General features: G+C 48.4%; 1 long non-coding RNA gene and 1 other non-coding gene across 2 annotated transcripts, besides 6 other annotated features; one reads left to right on the top strand and one right to left on the bottom strand.

Moving 5' to 3' along the window:
- Positions 1-1,421: 1,421 nt before the first annotated feature.
- LINC00475 (long intergenic non-protein coding RNA 475) lies at positions 1,422-19,563 on the bottom strand. The gene is made up of 4 exons (NR_027341.1): positions 19,380-19,563; positions 8,166-8,293; positions 4,741-4,920; positions 1,422-2,929 (listed from the first exon to the last, which is right to left on the bottom strand). It is a non-coding gene; the product is annotated as a long intergenic non-protein coding RNA 475 (long non-coding RNA).
- Positions 12,757-13,956: an enhancer, noted in NCBI's record as "MED14-independent group 3 enhancer chr9:94909356-94910555 (GRCh37/hg19 assembly coordinates)". NCBI's record gives its function as "activates an origin of replication core promoter dependent on BRD2, BRD4, P300/CBP and CDK7 cofactors, and independent of MED14, by STARR-seq in HCT116 cells {active_cell/tissue: HCT116}" and the evidence as "EXISTENCE:reporter gene assay evidence [ECO:0000049][PMID:35650434]".
- Positions 13,465-13,664: an enhancer, noted in NCBI's record as "active region_28591". NCBI's record gives its function as "activates an Ori minimal core promoter by ATAC-STARR-seq in GM12878 lymphoblastoid cells {active_cell/tissue: GM12878}" and the evidence as "EXISTENCE:reporter gene assay evidence [ECO:0000049][PMID:35858748]".
- Positions 13,469-13,763: an enhancer, noted in NCBI's record as "tiled region #423; HepG2 Activating non-DNase unmatched - State 22:ReprW, and K562 Activating DNase unmatched - State 1:Tss". NCBI's record gives its function as "activates a minimal TATA promoter and a strong SV40 promoter by Sharpr-MPRA in HepG2 and K562 cells {active_cell/tissue: HepG2 | K562}" and the evidence as "EXISTENCE:reporter gene assay evidence [ECO:0000049][PMID:27701403]".
- LOC124902345 (small nucleolar RNA U13) lies at positions 15,844-15,947 on the top strand. The gene has a single exon (XR_007061921.1). It is a non-coding gene; the product is annotated as a small nucleolar RNA U13 (small nucleolar RNA).
- Positions 18,699-19,277: an enhancer, noted in NCBI's record as "H3K27ac-H3K4me1 hESC enhancer chr9:94904035-94904613 (GRCh37/hg19 assembly coordinates)". NCBI's record gives its function as "activates a minimal SCP1, AML or CMV promoter by ChIP-STARR-seq in naive H9 embryonic stem cells {active_cell/tissue: H9 hESC(naive)}" and the evidence as "EXISTENCE:reporter gene assay evidence [ECO:0000049][PMID:30033119]".
- Positions 19,278-19,857: an enhancer, noted in NCBI's record as "H3K27ac-H3K4me1 hESC enhancer chr9:94903455-94904034 (GRCh37/hg19 assembly coordinates)". NCBI's record gives its function as "activates a minimal SCP1, AML or CMV promoter by ChIP-STARR-seq in naive H9 embryonic stem cells {active_cell/tissue: H9 hESC(naive)}" and the evidence as "EXISTENCE:reporter gene assay evidence [ECO:0000049][PMID:30033119]".
- Positions 19,534-19,713: a silencer, noted in NCBI's record as "silent region_20029". NCBI's record gives its function as "represses an Ori minimal core promoter by ATAC-STARR-seq in GM12878 lymphoblastoid cells {active_cell/tissue: GM12878}" and the evidence as "EXISTENCE:reporter gene assay evidence [ECO:0000049][PMID:35858748]".

The following is a 20,358-nucleotide window of genomic DNA, read 5'->3' as shown; positions in this document are numbered from 1 at the left end:
CAGTGGGTTTTATACCCTGGGGTCCTGTGAATGCTGGGCTAAAGCTTGAAGGATGTCTTGTTTCTGGGGCGGGGCCCAAACAAAGCCTGATTGTTCTCAGTCTGTTGCATTCCCAGTGCATTCCAGTCATTCTGGAGAGGTACCAGCCAGAAACAGGGAGAGCTGGGTTTGTCCACGGCCACTTACAGAACAGTCCCACGACATAGACGGACTTAAAAGAGATACGCAGCTTGCTGTCTACTCAGTTGACGGGCTTTCTTCCCCTGGTTGTTCTACAATGTTGGACTTCCTTGGTGGTGGTAGTGGTACTGTGTGTGTGTGTGTGTGTGTGTGTGTGTGTAGGCACACATGTGCATGTGTGTATCAATGTGTGCATCTTTGTACATATGTATGCATTTGTGCAACTATGTACATGTGTGCCTGTGTATGCATATCTTAGCGTGTCCTGGGTGTGTTCATGTGTTTGCATGTGTACATGCGCCTCTGTGAATGTTTGTATGTGTGGTGTGTGTGCTTATGTGTGTGTGTATAGTCACACACACGTGTGCAATCGTGGCCCCATGGAATGTACTCTCTGGGCATCATAAGTGTTTCACACAGGCTCGGGAACGACGGGCTTCCCTCAGGAGCAGTTCATAGGACTCCTCGTCCCCATAGCTGTCAGGACCCTTTGGGAGAAGTCCTGCGCCCACCTGGAGGTCAGGGAAAGACCCTGTTTCACACATGGCTGTGCAGCCTTCACTTCAGCCCCCACCTCCATCCTGGGTCCCAGCCACTGTGCTCTCACCCTTCCCTGAACTGTCCCTGACATGACACAGTTGGTTTTATCATTATGAGTTGTAATCATTGTAGAGATGGCTTATCTGACCTTCTATAGAGATTATAAATCCCTTCGGGGGCAAAAACTACACATCATTAATTGAAAAATTATTTTATTATACTTCTAGAACTCCAACATTTTCCAGAAACTGGTGTCGTTATGCCACACAGGGTCTAATCCTCTCTCCCTGCAGAGCTGGGACCATCCAGCTGTGCACAGGTCCCCATGAGGTGGGTGTGTGCCATCTGATTGGGCTGAGTGGAGGCTGCCCACAGCTTCTCTAACAGCCCCAGATGCTCCCGGGGGCAGGTGCACTAGTCAAAGCTAAAGGGATCCATTCTGCCTGGAGACCCGCTCCTGGGGGCAGGTGCACTCAGTCGAAGCTAAACGGATCCATTCTGCCTGGAAACCCCCCTGAATCGCCACCTCGCCCTGAGTCCCAGCTATGCTTCACCGTGTTCTCACTCTGTGGAGGAGAATCCCTGGCTGGACCCTGGGTCATCCCACCCAATAAAAGAGCTCATGGGTATTACAGAAAAGGCTTAAATTTGACAGTTAAAGATAGAAATTGCCAGTGAAGAAAATTCATCTGTTATAATATACAAATAAAGCATGTGTTTATTGAAATAGTACCTCTATGAAGAATACTTTAAGAATGTGAATGGGGTTTTGTTTTTGTAAACTTTCAATTACCTTCCCTTCCCTGACCCTGCCAGGTATTCATCTCCTGCCCAGATCCCAGGGTGGCCTTCCTGAAATGAACGCTCCATCTGAATTTTCTTCTCCCCTGTCTCTCAAGAGAATGCCCAGGCTCCTAACCATGTCTCAGACTGCCCTGCACCTCAGCCTCTGTCTCTGCACCCCCAGGCATGTTCAACCTCTTGCAATTCTTGCATTCCCCATAGTTCATGACCCAACCTTTGCCCCCCTACCAGCTGGTCCTGGAATACCCCCCAGGCTCGTTTGTGAACCCTCAGGAGTATTCATGTTCCAAAGTCGCAGCACTCTGGAAGCCGCCTCCCCAGGCTGCTGTGGGTCTTTGCTGGGTCCCACTAGTGTCCAGGTCTGTCTCCGCCATGGCCCTAGTGCCATCTCAAGAGTCTGTTATCTCCTCACCAGCACTACCCTAGACCATGGGCTTCCTTGATTTATTTTCTCAAGATCCTCAACACCCAGCTTGGGGCCCAAGGCACAGTGAATACATAGTCCATGTTTTTAAATGAATGCATTTATGTTCTAAATGGCTTAAACATTCCCTTGCTCTATCAGCTGAGAGAGTCTAGAAGCAACAACACCTCACTAGCAATGAACACACCAGTGCCCAGATCTTGGTTTCTAACACTGTTCTAGGAAAGGAGCCAGAGCTTCTTGGAGAATTGACTGATTCAAGGGCAAAGGCAGGACATGCAGAAGATAAGCCAGGAGCATCTTTAGTAGCAGAAATTAAGGAGATGCCCAAAAAGCCAAGTGATGAGCACCTGTCAGAGGCACACAGGAGCTGGGAACCCACCACGGGAGCTCACCAAGGCCAACCTCGAAGAAGCTGAGCAGGAAAAGAAGCAAAGTCACACTGGAGTCCAGCCCGAGCATGGGCTGAGTATCCATGAGTCCATAGCAATATAAATAAAAGATTGAGTACATAAGTAATGTGGAGGCATGGATGAGTATCCCCCCCAGGACATTTCCCAGTCACTCATGTAGCTACTTCTCCTCCTCGGAAGTGGAGCACAACCCATACCCCTAAGTGTCGGCTGTGCATGGCGACGTCCTTCCAGAGAGTACAGCATGGAGAGGGGGACTTCACAGTGGGGAGACCTCAGCCAGCCGACTACAGCCACCACTGTCAGTGAAGAGTCATGTCAGCAGCGTGTGTACCCTTGTTATGACATGATGAGAATGGCATTTATCTGTGTGGTCTTCCTCCCAAAACCCATAACCCCAGGCTATTTACGAGGAAAGCCTCAGACAAATCCCAACTGAGGAGCGTCCTGCAATGCACCTGATTAGGGCTCTTCAAACCATCAAGGTCATCAACGGCAAGGGCCGTCTGAGACCCTGTCACAGCCAAGAGGAGTCCAAGGAGATATGGCAGCCAAATGTGATGGGGTCCTGGGCAAAAACAGAAAATTGGGTAAAACCTAAAGAAATCTGAATAAATGCAGACTATTGTTAGTAATAATGTATCAGTGTTAGTGGTGACGAATCTAGCCTACTAATATGTTAACAACGTGAGAAATTGGGTATGAGTATATGATAACTTTCTGTAATATTCTTGCAAATTTTTAGTACATGTAAAACTATTGCAAACAAAATAATTTATTTTAAAAATGACCTACCTAAAAGAGGTTAAACTTTGATTACAAATCAACTAAACTCAGCCTGTTTTCAAGACATTACTCTTTGTTATGGTCTGTAGGGGTTCTGAAAATTTTTACAAATATAATTTCTCCTTTTGAAATGGGGTGTTCCAGAATGCCATGCCTTCACAGGTATAATTGGGGTTTCAGATCGGGAGAGACAGCCCTGAAAGATACCCAAGAAAGAAATAGTCACAAGTCTAGAAATTAAATTTTCTGATGTTCTAGGTATTGATTTTCTTGGAACGTCTGACATGTCTAACACTTATACTGCACCACATCACTGAATCTATTGTACTTTAATGATGGTTTTTGTTGTTCACTTGTTTTTAACTGTGGATCATTTCAGTGCAGCTTCAGGCTTAGCATTAGATGCTAACAGCCACTCTATTGAATATCTTTCTTTAGGTATCAGCATTTTCTACCTGGGAGAAAGAATTACACAAAATCGTGTTTGACCCACGCTATCTCCTGCTCAACTCTGAGGAACGAAAGCAGGTAACGGGGTGGGAAGGCACTTTGACTGCAGAGACGCAGCATGAAAGCGACTGTTGCATCCTGGATCTGGGGAGCTTTTCATTGCTGAATAACAGACACCCATGTTGTAAATTTGGCCAGTGGGGAGGAGTTACAGCTCCAGTACTGTAGCTTGCGAGCTTGTAAGCAGAGTTAGAGGGACTGAGGAAGGTTATTCTGGTCATTATTCTTACCTCAGTATTTGGTTATGACCCTGGAAGACAAATACTTTTAAAGATGAACATGTAAATTTTAGGAACATTAACCCTCATTCCAAATGACTATAAATCATATGTTAAAAATACGAAATACTTCAGGTATTATATAAAGATAGTGAAATAGGTGGTCTTACATAAGACCTTAAGGTTTTATATGCTTAAAGTCTTATGTAATATGAAAGTTGTCAGAATCAAAATGAAGTCACTAATGTTAAGAAACCCCTAACAAATAGAATGGAGGAAGGCCATGAAGAGAGGGTTCTCATACTTGTATACCTGATAACTAAAAAGACTCTACGAGAACCACAGTCTTGCACACAAGGCCGTAAAAACCTTTTATTTTATTTTATTTTATTTCATTTTATTTTAGACAGGATCTGGCTCTGTTGCCCAGGCTGGAGTACAGTGGTGCAATCTTGGCTCACTGCAACCTCCACTTCCTGGGCTCAAGCCATCCTCCCACCTCAGCCTCCTGAGTAGCTGGGACTACAGGCACCAGCCACCACGCCTGGCTAATTTTTGTACTTTTTGTAGAGATTTGGTTGCTGTATATTCCCCAGGCTCATCTTGAACTCCTGGGCTCAAGCAATCCTTCCACCTTGGGCTCCGAAAGTGTTGGGATTATAGGCGTGAGCCACCGCACCTGGCTCATCACAACCTTATACACACAAAAAGCACTTCTGCAAGGACACCTGCCCAACAACTGCCTGTCCAACCTCAGACTGGCTTTGTCCTGGTATGGATCTCTGTAGCCAAAGATAATTATTTCAAAACAATGATTTAATCCTCTCATTTATTTTTCCTTAAAAATTATTGTCTTTTTTTTTACCTCCCTGAATATTCTTGTCATTTACGATGGCATGTGTATTCCCGTTGCAATGCTCTCTTCCCAAATAAGCATCCATTTCATTTCAGAGAGCCTCTTTCTGCTTGTTCTTCAGGTTGACAATAACACTGATGAAATAGGAGTGGTCCAGAGAACAACCGCAGCACAGTGAAGGGTGGAGTTCTACAAAACACCGCCCACAAAACACGGAATTGATTAGAGGGGGTTCTCCGGGGGCTATTTTAAGGAGAGACTTGCCAGGGGTCTGCCCTAGCTTTTCACAAAGTAGGTCCCTGAGCCAACACTGCTTTCCGTATCAAACAGAGGGACAGATGGTGTTGGCTCACAGGAGGGGCCTGTTGTTGCTGGGAGAGGGACCGATGGTCTGACAGCATCAGCGGGCACAGCCTGGGTTTGTGTGGCCCGTGGAGCGTGTCTGAGAAGGGCCCTGAGATAGACTCTGGAAGGTCCGGACTTCCCTGCCCCAGTTAGACTCCATGTGTGCGGCCACATCTTGCCCTCTCTTTGCCCTTTGAGTTCAGAAATGATGCACGTGGAAGGTGAGCTATCAAGAAGAGCCGCTGAAAACAGAAGAGCCAGAGTTAATTAGGGGAGGAGGGGTTCTGTGACCAGGGGCCCCCATGTTGGTGTCCACTGGATTTCTCACACCAGCAGAGTCTGATAAAGCCCCAGATGGAGGGTATGGGAATTGCCATTTTATTTTCAATTCTGTCCTCTGCTCATAAAGTCCCTTTAAGCAAATGCCTGAGATGGTGTCAGTGAAGCGCGAACCCACAGAGTCTCAGTCATATGGACCCGCGTTGCTCGTTGTAACCAACTCCCGCTCTGTCCTCACTCCCATTCCGAGCCCTCGACCCACCACTCCGCTCGTTGGAACTGTACCCTCTCGCTGGTGCAGGCTCAGGGGTAGGCTGGGCAGTGTGACGTGTTCCCAGGATTGACTGCCTTGGAATACAGAACTTGAACCTTGCAAGAACTTGGAATTAATAATATTTTATTGTCTTCTAGCTGAGTTTCATTTTCTATAAAGAAATATTTTAAAATATGCAAAATGTGTTATCACAGCCTCAAAATAATGCTACAATAGAGTTAGCTGAGTTTGGGTGTTATATATATTTTTCCTATAGCAAAGGAAAACCATAGACATTAATAACTGGTCATATTTCGCCCTTTTTTGCAATTTTAAAAATCAAAAATTTCAGCTATGGGCTGGGCACGATGGCTCATGCCTGTAATCCCAGCCCTTTTGGAGGCCGAGGTGGGCGGATCACCTGAGGTCAGGAGTTCCAGACCAGCCTGGACAACATGGCAAAACGCTGTCTTTACTAAAAATGCCAAAAATTAGCCAAGTGTAGTGGTGCTTGCTTGTAATCCCAGTTACTCAGGAGGCTGAGGCAGGAGAATCACTTGAACCCGGGAGGCACAGGTTGCAGTGAGCTGAGATCACGCCACTGCACTCCAGCCTGGGCAATAAGAGCAAAACTCCATCTCAAAAAAAAAAAAAATCGGCTGTGAAAAAGCATAACAAGGAGCCTGTGTTTTTATGTGACAGAATCACTGGAGGACAGAGGCAGGAGCCATAAACCGGGCAGTGTCTAAAATCATCAGTACATCTGGGGTGTGTGTGGTGTGTGGGGCATGTGTGCTGTGTGTGGTGTGTGGGTTGTGTGTGGTGTGCGTGGCACGTGCCACGTGTGCCACCACCGACTTGTTTGCTGTTGCCAGTTGTTCTCTCTCTGTGCCATAGATACCTTTTGAGGCTGTTAGTCCCTTTAAAAAACATTGAATAAGTAAGATCATCCTCACCACAAAAAGAAAATTACAATTTATGATCAAGCCCCTTCCAAATATTCTAGTTTAAATGCTAAGGCACATCTCTTAGAACAGCTGGGAACACAGGGGCCCAGTCTGCTTGCTGGTTGGAAGTGGTTCATGGGCAGGGCAGGGCTGGTCCCCTGATGTCTGGGGGACGTGGGCATCCCACCCAGGGCTCATCAAAGGGAGCACTGTGAGGCTGGACCTTCCTCAGGCCATCGTCAGAGACCACAGATGCCAGCCCTGATGGGGTTGGGCCTGCCTGGGCTGGGATGCCCTGGCCTTGCCTGGGTGGGTCCTCTGCAAATAGATGAGATGAGAATATAGCTCATGCTAAGTACCTATTGCCTGGGGAAAACCTTTAAAGGTCCCCGTGAGATCACCCAGAGGAAACTGTGGGCCTGTCCTAACGTCCTGCAACTTGGTCCCAGAAGGTCCAGTGGGAAAGAGGAGGAAGCAGGCCACGCCGTAGCCAGTGCACTGGAGGGTCCAGAGAGTGCTCAGAAGAAGTGCCTGCAACCTCATCAAAGGGGAGCATGGCAGCTCGTATGAGGAGTGGGATGGAAAGAAATCATAGCTGGACCCCATCCAAAGACCACAGTCCTATTTAGGAAGAAATTGGGTTAGAAGTATCAGACATAGAATCTGTACAGGACCTAGTGTCATACAGCGTTTTCATGGGGAAAGCTAAGGCCCCTGGTGTGAAAATCACAGCCCTTCCTCTGCTGGATGAGCTGCACAGGAGAAGAGGGTGATCCTACACAGAATCAGGGTCAAGGCAGTGTGAATCAGGCCTGTTTCTATGGCAACAAATAGTGTTTTGTTTTATTGCGGTAGAACATACAGCAATGATATAATAGCCAATGGAATCTCTTTTAAAAAGTCATGCTCCACTTTGGATAAAGCTGGTATAATTTGTTAAGGATGAAAAACAAAACCTGCGATGTTAAATTATAGCAGCATAAAATAAAGTAACAGAGCAAAGGGAGAGGAAAGAGAGAAGCATTTGATGAGATGGAGAAACGGTTCTAGGCAGAGAGAGAAGCAGGCATTTCTGAAGAGCCCTGACCCCACAGCCAGCCAGGCTTTCTCTCTAGGTCTAAAATTAATAGAGCAAAACTCTAGCTAATGATGGAGCCACATGCTTTTATTTGGATAATAACCCTGCATTCATTTTTTATTAGTTAAATATAAGATAACTAAGAACTTACATTGCTATTTGCCTTGAAGGTATAAGAAGCCAATTATGGCCTGGCATGGTGGCTTACACCTGTAATCCCAGCACTTTGTAAGGCTGAGGCGGGTGGATCACCTGAGGTCAGGAGTTCGCAACCAGGCTGGCCAACATGGTGAAACCCTGTCTCTACTAAAAATACAAAAAAAATTAGCTGGGCATGGTGGCACACACCTATAGTCCCAGCAACTTGGGAGGCTGAGGCAGGAGAACTGCTTGAACCCAGGAGGCAGAGGTTGCAGTAAGCCAAGATCATGCCATTGCACTCCAGCCTGGGCAATAGAGCAAGACTCTGCCTCAAAAAAAAAAAAAAAGAAAGAAAGGAAAAAAAAAAGAAGCCAATCATATTCTTACTTACATAGACATGCACATATTCTCAATTTAAGTCATATTTGTGGATGTTTCATTTTGCTGCTGTATCTTCAGGAGACCAGTGGCATTTTGTATTCATAATCCTGTAAAGGTTTGCCACTACTGACATGGAATCTGAAACAATAAGAAAAGTGGGAAGAGAGCTGCTCAGGAGAAGGGGCTGAGCAGTGCTGGGGTCGAGGCTTTCACCTGCCTGCCCTTCCTTTCTCATCCCCACTCACTTGGCATGAGTGTAGAAGAAGCTGCCTGCTTGGTCCTCGGTCACATTCTAGGATCGGCCTGGCAGTTGGTTGGATTGGTGCACAGTTGCTATTTATTGGCCTTATAGGATCCTATGTGGACTTTCTCTTGATATTTTTATTTATGTTTGCATAAGCACTTATCTTCAGTTTATTTTTAACATTCTTGAGTTTGGGGTAGCATGAGGAATGAAAGAACTTTGTCCCTCTTTGACTCTGTAGTCCATAAATGACCGTTTTTCAGTTGTTAGAACAGTGATCCATCTTACTCTGACAGAGAAGAGGTTCTGTGGCCTGTCACAAAGAGATTGCATCTCGTTATGTGGGCTGCCAGGTTCCAGGAGAAGTGCCCTGGAGACTTGCCCAGAATTGCCTGCCGGCTGATGTGCGTGTTCTTCCCACTGAAGAACAGGGTTTTCCTGTTTGGGGCAGCATTTGAGATGCATTTCTGGTCAGACAGGGGCGTGCCCAGTACCTGAGGGTCAGGCCTCCTGGCCAGTTGTTTCCACACTGATGACCCAGGCAGCCTGGCATCCCGTGACCTCCTCAGAAGAGGCCGCTTATGCGCCCTGAGTCCTCCCCAAGGTGCCAGACACCCAGGTTCACAAGTGGGGATCAGAGATGCAGAATTTACTTTCTTTTCACAAGTTAAGGTCATTTTTGGGAGACTCATTTTGGGAGAATGTCAATTACGTCACCCTAGGAAGTGACTAGCATGAACTAAGTGCTCTACTATGTTCTGGTGCCACTGGCCGTGATGAGAAAGTGAGGAGGCCGCGCATGACGGATGCTGCTCAGAGGCCACAGTGAGGACCACTGCAGCCTACAGCACAGGTTCCAAACCACCACTTGGTTCCAGACGCCTGCAGAGAGGGCAGCCAAGTCATTCTCCGGGTTTCTCCAGCAGGGCTGTTTCACATTTGACCCAGAAATGGCACCTGCATGTAGAGAAACGCCGGGCCGTGTGGGGACCCAGGTTTAATTATTCAGACCGCTTGGATCCTTGAGAGCTATGCTGAAAGGCTATTGCTCATAACTCCAGCAGCTGTGAACAAGAACAGCTTTTGCCATAGATTCTTGCTGCTTTCTCATGTTGTGCTTGGAATACAAGATTTCATTTCTAATATGCAATTTCATGATGTTTTTCTTTTTTTTTTTTTTTTGGAATCGCAAGAATTCCCAGGCCCTCTTTTTATTTACAGTGATACCAAACCATCCACTTGCAAATTCTTTGGTCTCCCATCAGCTGGAATTAAGTAGGTACTGTGTATCTTTGAGATCATGTTTTTGTCTCCACTTTGGTGGATACAAGAAAGGAAGGCACGAACAGCTGAAAAAGAAGGGTATCACACTGCTCCAGCTGGAATCCAGCAGGAACCTCTGAGCATGCCACAGCTGAACACTTAAAAGAGGAAAGAAGGACAGCTGCTCTTCATTTATTTTGAAAGCAAATTCATTTGAAAGTGCATAAACGGTCATCATAAGTCAAACGTATCAATTAGACCTTCAACCTAGGAAACAAAGTTTTTTTTTTATTTAATAATACACCACACTGAAATTATTTGCCAATGAATCCCAAAGATTTGGTACAAATAGTACAATTCGTATTTGCTTTCCTCTTTCCTTTCTTCAGACAAACAGCAAATAAAATGCAGGTGAAAGAGATGAAACACGACTAGAGGCTGACTTAGAAATTTATGCTGACTCGATCTAAAAAAAATTATGTTGGTTAATGTTAATCTATCTAAAATAGAGCATTTTGGGAATGCTTTTAAAAGAAGGTCAAGTAACAGTCATACTGCTAGAAAAGTCCCTGAAAAAAAGAATTGTTAAGAAGTATAATAACCTTTTCAAAACCCACAATGCAGCTTAGTTTTCCTTTATTTATTTATTTGTGGTCATGAAGACTATCCCCATTTCCCCATAAAATCCTCCCTCCATACTGCTGCATTATGGCACAAAAGACTCTAAGTGCCACCAGACAGGAGGACCAGAGTTTCTGATTATAAACAATGATGCTGGGTAATGTTTAAATGAGAACATTGGATATGGATGGTCAGATGAAAGATACCAAAATGTCAGATGTTTTTCTTCTGTGTCTGTGTTTTAAGATATTTGAACAGTTTGTCAAGACAAGAATAAAAGAAGAATACAAGGAAAAGAAAAGTAAATTGCTGCTAGCCAAAGAACAATTCAAGAAACTTCTAGATGAATCGAAAGTGTCTCCCAGGTGTGGAGAGAGAAATATACTGGATGATTTCTGGGGATGGGAGCTTACCAATGACAAGAGGACTCTTCAGGTTTGTTTTTGTTAAATCGTGTAACCCAGCCTTCCACAGACACGAAAGTCTGAGCTTTGAAGACCTGCCGGTGAGACCAGGCTGACTCCCCTCTATCATGCTGCCTGTCATGAGCCTCCAAATGTCCCTCTCATCAGTCCTGGGAAAGTGGGCTATTTGCTAACCAAATGCATCACAACCATTTTATTCCTACCCTGCATGCATTTCAAATGTCAGCAACCCTGACTGACCCAAATAATCAATCAATACATAAGCACTCATGAGATGAGGTCTAGTTTCTGATCTAATGATCAAGAAGCAAAAATGCAAAGCTAACTACAAACAACAGAGCCATATAACCCCTACCACACCCCTTGGTTCCAGATGTCTTCACAGTTGGTCCCAGAGTAAAATGAAGATTTGACATACTGGACAAGTGAACTGAGTTAACTAGGTTGCCAAAACTTACTAAAATAATAAATGAGGCATTATTTCCATGAAATAAGACACACTTATAAGAAAATAGATGTTAGACATTGGAAGAATATATAAGCTTAATTCTTTCTTAAAAATTAGCTTTAATTGACTGATCTTTAAAAAGTAATGAACATGGACTGGGCGCGGTGGCTCATGCCTGTAATCTCAGCTACTCGGGAGACTGAGGCAGGAGAATGGCGTAAACCCGGGAGGCGGAGCTTGCAGTGAGCCTTGATCGCGCCACTGCACTCCAGCCACAGAGTGAGACTCTGTCTCAAAAAATAAATAAATAAATAAAAAGTAATGAACATGTACTACTTTTAGAACTATAAAACTGTAGGTTTTGTAAACATAAAAATGGTTAACAATGTATTTTTATTTTAGACTGGAAGATGCAACATCAGTTTGTTTGTTTTTTTTTTTTGAGACAGACTTTCGCTCTGTCACCCAGGCTGTAGTGAAATGACACGATCTTGGTTCACTGTAACCTTCACCTCCAGAGTTCAAGCAATTCTCCCTGCTTCAGCCTCCCAAGTAGCTGGGATTACAGGCATGTGCCACCACGCCCAGCTAATTTTTGTATTTTTAATAGAGATGGGTTTTCACCGTGTTAGCCAGGATGGTCTCGATCTCCTGAGCTCGTGATCCACCCGCCTCGGCCTCCCAAAGTGCTGGGATTACAGGCATGAGCCACCGGGCCCGGCCAGCATCAGTTTTTAAATGGACATTAACTGATGCTTTCTATGAAGGCATAGGCCTCCTTTGTTTGACCTGCGATTTGGTTGATCAAGAATTAGGTGACCTAAGTTAATGCTAGTTACACAATCCTCATAAAACTTCTCTAACTATTCTAAGGACAGGTACGTTCCGAATGGGGAAAAAAATAGCATGAATTATCTTCATCACAAGTGCTAATGTAGACAAGTAAATGTGTGTCCCGTTGCTTGCAACTTGTGATTTTCTATGGTTAAAGCAGTCATGAGAATGCTGGGTTCTAGCCATGGCTTAGCTGTGTCCACCCACCAGATGGCCATGGGGCAGAGGCAGAGGAGGCAAGGGCTCAGGAAAGGTGCTGGAGAGCCCCTTCTCTGCCTTAGTTCACAGCCTGGCCCTGGCCCATCTTATCCCGGCCATGGGGTAAGTATCGAACCTTCCTGTGCTTCAGAGCCCTCCTGCAAATGGGAGGATGACCACACACACCTCAGAAAGTGACTAGGAGGATGGCGTGAGGGGCTGCAGAGAGGGACCCCAGTGGTGCCTGGTAGGCAGGAGGAGCTCCGAAAGTGGTAGCTGTCATTACCGCTATTGAGATCGTCATTACTCTTAAAGACATTTGGCCAGCATTCTCTATTGATAAACTAACAGCAATAAGCCACATACTCCCCTTCCCATGAATATATCATGAAGACAACGGAAAAAATATTCGGAATGCATTGAGCCATTTAACGAAGATGACATACACACATACACACACACAGAGGGAAAACGAGGGGTAGAAATTAGAAGGGAGTTAAACTGACTCTTTTTAAAATGAGATTTAATTGCCTGCTATTTTTTAAAATAGATTTTATTGTATATATTTAAACTATACAACATAATGTTATAGGGCACATAGAGATCATAAGATGCTTACTAGAATGTAGCAAATTATTTTAAGATTTACATATTGCTTTTATAATTATAAAGCTATTTTTTTTATTTTAAAAGTAGCTAAGTTTGCAACATTTCAAAAACTTTTTCCACATCTTCTGTCTACTTTTCTGTAGGCATCCCAGTGAAACATGTACAATTCAAATGACCACATGCTGGACAGCCAGGCGCATCCCCATGCAGGCCACGTGGGCCTCTTAGAAGCAGCCTCCTGGGACTGTGTAGCCTCCTGCAGCCATACAATCCCGTCCTGGTCGCCCGTCTCAGCCTCGGTCCTGAGCAGCCTGTGGGAATTGTGGCGAAGGGACAGTCCAGAACACTCCTGGACAGCCCCTAGCCCCAGCCCTGCCCGCCTCTCGGGAGAGCAGCCACCAGGGACTGGGTCCTAGCCAGGTGGGGTTGGCCACCCGGTGGGGTTGACACCTGGTGTTCCTTCCTGAAAGCTGCAGCAGCTACCTCCTTCATGGCAGGCTGGCCCGAGTCCCACTTAGCGGAAGGAGAGCAGAGATCCAGGGCCCGTGAATCAGCTGACCTTCGTGAGTTCACACCACAGCTCATCAGCACCAGCAGAAAGCCGGTACTGCCCCTTGGCATGGCTAAGGGTCCATGGAAGTGGGAGCTCCCTTTCTTTTCAGGGACACTTTTTCTCAGAGAGGCCCAGAATAGGACCTGTCTAGCAGCTGCCCCTGTCCAGCCCCTAACTGAGAATGTGTAGACGCCTGTCTAGCCAGGGGAGCGTGGAACAAGCCCAGGCAAGTCTGACCGTTTGACTCATCCCCCGCAGGTCAGGGGTGGAGTGTGGCTTAGCCACGGCACACCAAGGTTGTTACATCAGTAAAGGAAGGAAGGGGGAAGGACAGAGAGAAGGGAAGAAAGGAACGGGGAGAAAAGGAGGGAGGGAGAGAAGGAAGGAGGAAGGGAAGGCAGGGGAGAGGGCAGGAAGGAGGGGGGGAGGCAGAGGGAAGCCAGAGAGAAGCGCTTTTCTTGCGAGAGATGTGTAAACAAACACCCCCACGGACGGAGAGCAGGAAAACGGCAGCGCCTTGAGGAAGGAATGAGACGAATTGTTCAATGACAGAAATGAGCATGAGTCTGCTAATTTGTCTTGTCTTCTAACAGCCATGTCGGCATAATCTTGTTGTTTGTATATTTCACAAGCTATTAAGTTATAATAATTTAACACAATAATTCAGTGTCTGCAAGGAAGTGTAAAATTCTCTGTAAAGAGAAATGGGAGGGAATAAGAAGAATCCCCCGGACAAAGAATGACCACATTTTCCATGCACCCCGGAGCACATTGCCCAGGCCAGGCCCTGTCCAACTGTTGCTGGACAAGCAAGTGCATCTGCATAGGCCAGCGGCTCCAAGCCTTGGCTCTTCTATCCCTGTCCCTATTCCTGGCTTCAAGTTCAAGGCTAAGAGAACAGGAAGCTGCTTAAGAATAAGTTGCTTAAGAATAAGTTCTCTTCCCCACCCTGGTCTGGATGCTGCCTGGGTCCTCCCCTTCCCTCCTTCCCTTCCCTCACTGCCTGCAGCTGAGCAGCTCTCCCTGGGAGCTTTCTCTGTCCCACACCAGGAGCAGGAGACTCAAAGAGGATTGCGCCCTGCCTCTCCCACTTTCTAGTTTTTCATCCAAAACATGGCTTCTCTGGACATTGAGGTCCAGGGAAGTTTTGGGACTTGCACAGGGTCTCATAGCAACTGAGAGACTGAAGATTAGAACTCACAAACCCCAAGTTTCCGGAAGGAGGAGTCAAACTCTTAGAATCTATTAGAAAGGGCGACTAAGACTGGGCCAGGGAAGGGTGGCCTTGGAAGTGAGAAATGAGACCTGGCACGTTGGCACCCCCACCCCCAATTCACAATACATCCTCTCCAAGGCTGGCTCTCCCCTGTTAAGGCCGCCTGTTTCTCTGCCTCCTCATCTGTAGCCCCTGCAGGGGCCCGTCTAGACCATGTAAGGGAGCACGCTGGCGTCTTCCATCAGGTGCTCCCCTCCCCTCCCTGGTTTTTCAGACTGTATTCTAAAAAAAAAAAAAACAAAAAAAAAAAACCCTAAAATTACTCTGGGTTCCCAGCAGAGCTCATTCCATCTTCTTCGCAGCTTCTTGCACCTCTCACAGCCCGCAACTACACACACACCTATCCTACACCTTTCATAGAATAGGCCTGCTTCCCTCCCTCCCATGCTAGCTCCAGGACTTCCTCCTCCAGGAAGACTTCCATGACTGACATTTCTTCGCCCTGGTTATCCTAATAACAGCACTGGCTAACATTTATTGAGCTCTTCCCATGTACCAGACATTATGCCAAACCCTTTGCAAACATCATCTAAGTGAATCCACACAACAACCCTATGAGGTAGATCTTAACCCTGTTTACAGGTGAGGAAACTAAGTCACAGAAGGGCTAATCAACTGGCTGGGGGTTACATAGCTAGTAAGTGATAGTTTGAACTCTGCTTTGTTGTGGCAAATGCCACAACCCCTTACTCTCTGCCTCCAGCATCCTGCCTCCATCATTTTGGCTGTAGACATCCCCTGCAAATTACCCTGTATCTACACACACACAGAGAAACACGCAGACACACACAGACACACACGCACATACAGACACACATGCACACACCATCTAACCTTTCAAACAAGTCCAGTGGTTATCAGTTATCACAGGCAATCTTAAAGTTATAATTCCCAAGAAAGCAAACAGCAGTCTGAAGTGGGGGTTGCATGGTGTAGCGGCCCCTCCCTCAGCCCTGGTGGCAGTGGGCTATGAAAATGGGTGCTTAGGTGTGACTGCAAGTGCATGAGCCTGACGTCTTTCACAACTAGCTGCGTGAGATACCTTTTCTGGCACCATCTGTTTACTGACACTGCTCAGCCTTGGGGGCCCAGAGTAACTACCCAGATCTTTCTACTCAGGAACAACTCCGGGGATTATCTGCCCAACAAGTTATTTGCTGTCTGTGTATTCCTGTCTGTGCATCATGTGTACATGCAATACAATAGAACAAGAGGTGATCCTTTTGCAGTTAAGAAGCGTGACGATTGGGTTTTCATGCTCACGTGTGAGAAGTGCCTCCCTCAAACCTTGTTATGAAGTCAGCACATTACTGGTCTTTTTTATTTAAAAAAAAAGAAGAAACAAAAAAGAATAGAACAAGAGGCATCATGCCTTCTCATCACCATCAGATTGGATGTCCCACGGCCAGGGGCTCCATCTCCCCCTTGGTCTATTTCCAGAACAGGCCCTAGCCAGGGAGAATGTCGAAACCCCGGTGAGTGTCAATGAGCCTCGCTGAGACCACAGTTTAGGAGGAAACTGTTGAAAAAAGAGAGACATATGAAGGATTGTGAGTATCTGAAGTGTGTCTTCCCAACCTTGATCAAACAGGCCTGGCATTGAGCCCAAAAGTGGTAATAGTTTTTGGACATGAGTATCAAGGCAAAGAATACCAGTTGACTATAAAGATGCCTTTCTGGTCTTCCCTAGAACAAAGATGGAGAGGTGGAAGCACCTACTTCATGAAAGGTATTGGCTAGAAAGAGAAAATCTCACAGCCGTGGAGTGGGGGAAGAGATGTGATGTCATTTTTATTGAGACCAGGTCAAGGAATGTGCAAGAGGACTTGCGGGTACCTTCTGGAGCCCATAGCTCCTGGGCGCCTCCTATGGTTCCGTCTATGGCTCCTTCTAAGGATCTTCGAGTCCTCTCTGGCCTGCTACTTCCTGCATATCCAAGTGTTTTAACATTTTTCATTCTCAACTCTGTGTCAGGAGGATCTAAGTCCCCACCTTCCCTCCCGATCCCCAACCCCCAATTTGCACCAACTGGTTGGGCTCCAAGTCCCCAGAACCAGCCAAGTATTGATCAAGAGTTGCCCTGACAGTCACCTCCCCAAGCACACAGCTCTCTTCCTCCAGCCACAAACAATTCCCTTGAATTCTACACTCACCCACTAGGCTCAATTTCCCTCTGGTGTGGAGAGGCCTGGTAGTTTACCTCCACCTCCACGGAGCACCCACAGGAGGCATGATAATACTAGCCACCATTTCAGAGTCACCCTCGGGTGTCAGGCACTGTGGGGACTTTCACTGAACATATTATCTCATTTAATCCTCTCAGCAACATGCTTCCTCCTCTCCATGTACACATCAAGAACCTGAGGCTTAGAGGTGTTCAGTGAGTGACTCTCAGTAGGTGGCAGAGCTAGGAAGGAACCAAGGTTTGAGTGGCCCAGAGAGAGGCACTGCTGGTTATATCATCAGATGCGAATCTGTGCTGTCCTCAGCAAGGGCTGGGATACATGGGGCAGGGCCAAGGTGGGCACCTCCTAACATCGCTGAAAAGAGAAAGGAGCCCCAAGACTTCCCCACCCTGGCTCTTCTCCATGCCAGCCCTCAACCCCACCTTCAGGTGCCTTTGTGGTAGAGCTGTTCTCCAGAGAGGGCAAAGAAAGAAAATTCCTCCTCTGAGACACCCTCAGGACAACTGTAGATATCCCTCATGCACCATCCTGATGGGACCCCTCCCCAGCCCAGGGCAGGGAACACGGTCCTCTGCTACCTCCTTCCAATATTCCAGACCCCACTGCTAAATTCCCCACATTGCCTCAGGACCCATCGTACTCTTTCTAGCTCCCACTCCCTCTCTTCTCTCCGCCATTCTCAGAAGCATCCCCTGAGTCTTGAGAGAGAGGGGGGCTTTCTCAATCCCCAGGAAGACACAGACCAGCTCAGAAAACCCCACCTCCACTGAACCCAAATGCAGACTTCACAGCTCCCAGGGAATTGTGACAAGTTAGTGGGAAAATCTTCTGCCAGCATGGATGGTAGGATGCTTGAATTCCAAAGGTGACAGTGTACCTCCTACCCCAGGTCCTTCTAGAAAAAGGATCATTAATCAGTCTAGGAAGACTTAACACTGGGAAAGGAAGCTCTGGAAGGCCTTATCTCCCCTGCCCCTTCAACCCAGGCAAGGGACCTTCCTTCAGCTCACCCAGAGAAAGGCTCCACAGAAGTCATATCTAAACTCTTTAGCCACAGGACCCTGTCTTCCAATGAACCAATGTCACATACTCCCAGGATAGAAAACTGCTGAAAGCAGGGCTGGCCTGGGTGTGGGCTGGGGCCGGAGCCTGCCCTGCTTTGCCAGATGCTGAGCACCCAGCCTCTGTGCAGTTGGTAGCTTTATTCCCATGACTGCCTCCGCCGTCACCTGCTGCACTGTGAAGGATTCCATTTGTCCTTCTAGAAGATGGGCATTATTTTTCTCTTCTCACTCCCTTACCTGGCCCACAGCCTGTGCCTTTTGGAGTGGAGGAGGACATCCCAACCTAGGGACAGGGACATTTGGAGAGGAGCCCCATGAAGAGTTGCCATCTGGGACCCTCTGCCTCCCACCAGGACACTGCCAACACTGAGCATCCTTTTAGTTCCACAAATTCTTGCTAGGCCCCTATAAAGATTCGCCCAGCGTCCTCTTCCTCTAAGCTCCCACGTGCTAGAACTCCCACATGCTAGAAGCCATGAGGGGTCTCTCTCAGGCCAGAAGGAGCTCTGGGATCCTAGCCCTCAGCAGAAGGCCCCAGGCTTTCCCACCTGCTCCCAGCTCCTCTGAGGAAGTTGATGGAGCCTGCAGAGCTGGGCTGGAGGAGGTCTCCTTTCCCCAGAGCGGGGCTGGGGGTGCGGGTAGGTGGCCTGGAATGTGCTCTCTCACCCTCCTCCTGCCCATGTGGTAAGCAGCGAGAGCCCCCAGCCCTCCAGCTCTGAGGGGAAGCTCCTGTGAGCCAGACGGACAGGACAGCTGCCCCCAATAGGGTCCCCTTCACGGGCCATCTCACCCCAACTCAGACGCTAAAAATGGTTCTCCGCTTTTCAGCCTCCGCGCCTGCCCACAAATTAGTGTCTCCAACACAGCCTCTTGGGACATGACTTTAGGGAGGCCCCTGGGGGAGCCGGGAGGCCCCAGTAAAGGGAGATGGTGCTGGCAGAGTCCCTTTCTGAGGAGACAAGAGTGGATAAGGCCCCCCTCCCAGCTTCTGGGACCCCCCCCCCAAAGAAGGCCACCCAGCCTCAGTGTGACAGCCCTGTTGTCCTCACCATGGCAGAAGAACAGACATTATTTCCACCCCACTGGGGCACGCTCCCCTCACCTCCACCTCCAGTTCTGTCAGCTTTACCCTCAGCCACCATCCTGGGCACTGCTCTGCTGGAAGAGAATGCAGCAACAGGAGATGGGGGAGCCAGCCCCGCGCCCTCCCGCTTAGGGTCCAGAACCCACCTTGCCAAACCTGGGCTCCCGCAGTCAGCCCACAAGCACGGAGGCCAATGGGGAAGCCAAGTCAGGGAAGCCTGGTCTCCCTGCTCGCCTGATATTTAGTCTCAGACTCTTCTCCCCTCCCCAGTCCCGCAACGGTCAACTTGGAAGGGGGTGAACCCTCTCCGGGATGCCCACGCCCCAGGGCACCAAGCAAGCAGGTGTCCTGCTGAGGCCAGGACTGGGTGCAAGCCAGCAGCCCGCAGTACCAGGTGGAGACAGGCGGGCAGTACTCACAGGTAAGCCGTCAGGGGATCCAGGTCCCCCGGTATGGCGGACAGCCCAAGCTCAAGAGCAGTCGGCAGACAGCATGATGCCGTCCTCCTGGCAGTGGCAGGGGGCCGGGCAGGCGGTAGGCCCCGGGCCGGGCTGGGGGGCGCAGCCGGCGCTCGGGGAGGCGCACACAGCGGCGCGAAGTCACAGCGCCCGGAGCCTGGGCGGGTTGGGCATCTCGGCGGCCGGGCTGCTGGGTCACCTGGCGGCCAGGCGCGCAGACGCACGGGCGCGGTGTCCGCAGCTGCTTTCTCCCGGTCCCGGCGGGCTGCGCCGTCGGTGGGGACCGCCCCGGGGGCTCTACTGGGCGTCGGCGGCGGGGCGGTGCAGTCAGAGAGGAGCAGGCATTGTTGAGTGATCTTCGTTATTCAGTTTCACAGGCTGGGCTTGGCAAGGGAGGGAGACCCAGCCGGAGGAGGAGTCAAGGAAACTTTCTACGCTGCGGCTAGCTCCCTTCCCTCCTTCCTTCGGAGCTGGCAGGAATTTCATTCAGGAAAGATAAAAAAAGGAAAAAAGCAAAGAAACCCAAGCGAGCAAAGCTCAGCCCGTCAGAGACCTGCACTTGTTTAGAAAGGGTGTCCCAGGGCCTTGGCTGCAGGGCTGGGGACCCTCTTGCCTTTGGGGATAGCCACGGGGTCACATGGGACCCAGAGGAGATCTCTGAAAGAGGCCTTGGGGCTCTCATAGCCCCTCATGCCTTCACCACGTTTCACACTGGAGGAAACAGAGACCCAAGAGGAGAAATGATTTGTTCAAGGTGACACAGCTGATAGGGCATCCCCAGAGCTGGAACTCGTCAGCCCTCCTCGGCCTTATCCTAGGACAAGAGAGAGGGGAGTGAGGGGCTACCCTGGAAGAGGCCAGGCTGCGGAGGGTTCCACTGCAAGCTGGGATGACCCGGCAGTGGGCAACCAGGAGCAGTCTCCTCCCTGAGAGGTCGCGC

This window comes from Homo sapiens, chromosome 9 (assembly GCF_000001405.40).
Source record: "Homo sapiens chromosome 9, GRCh38.p14 Primary Assembly".
Lineage (NCBI taxonomy): Eukaryota > Metazoa > Chordata > Mammalia > Primates > Hominidae > Homo > Homo sapiens.
The sequence above is the reverse complement of the archived record's forward strand: the minus strand, read 5'-3'. Positions and strand labels throughout refer to the sequence as shown.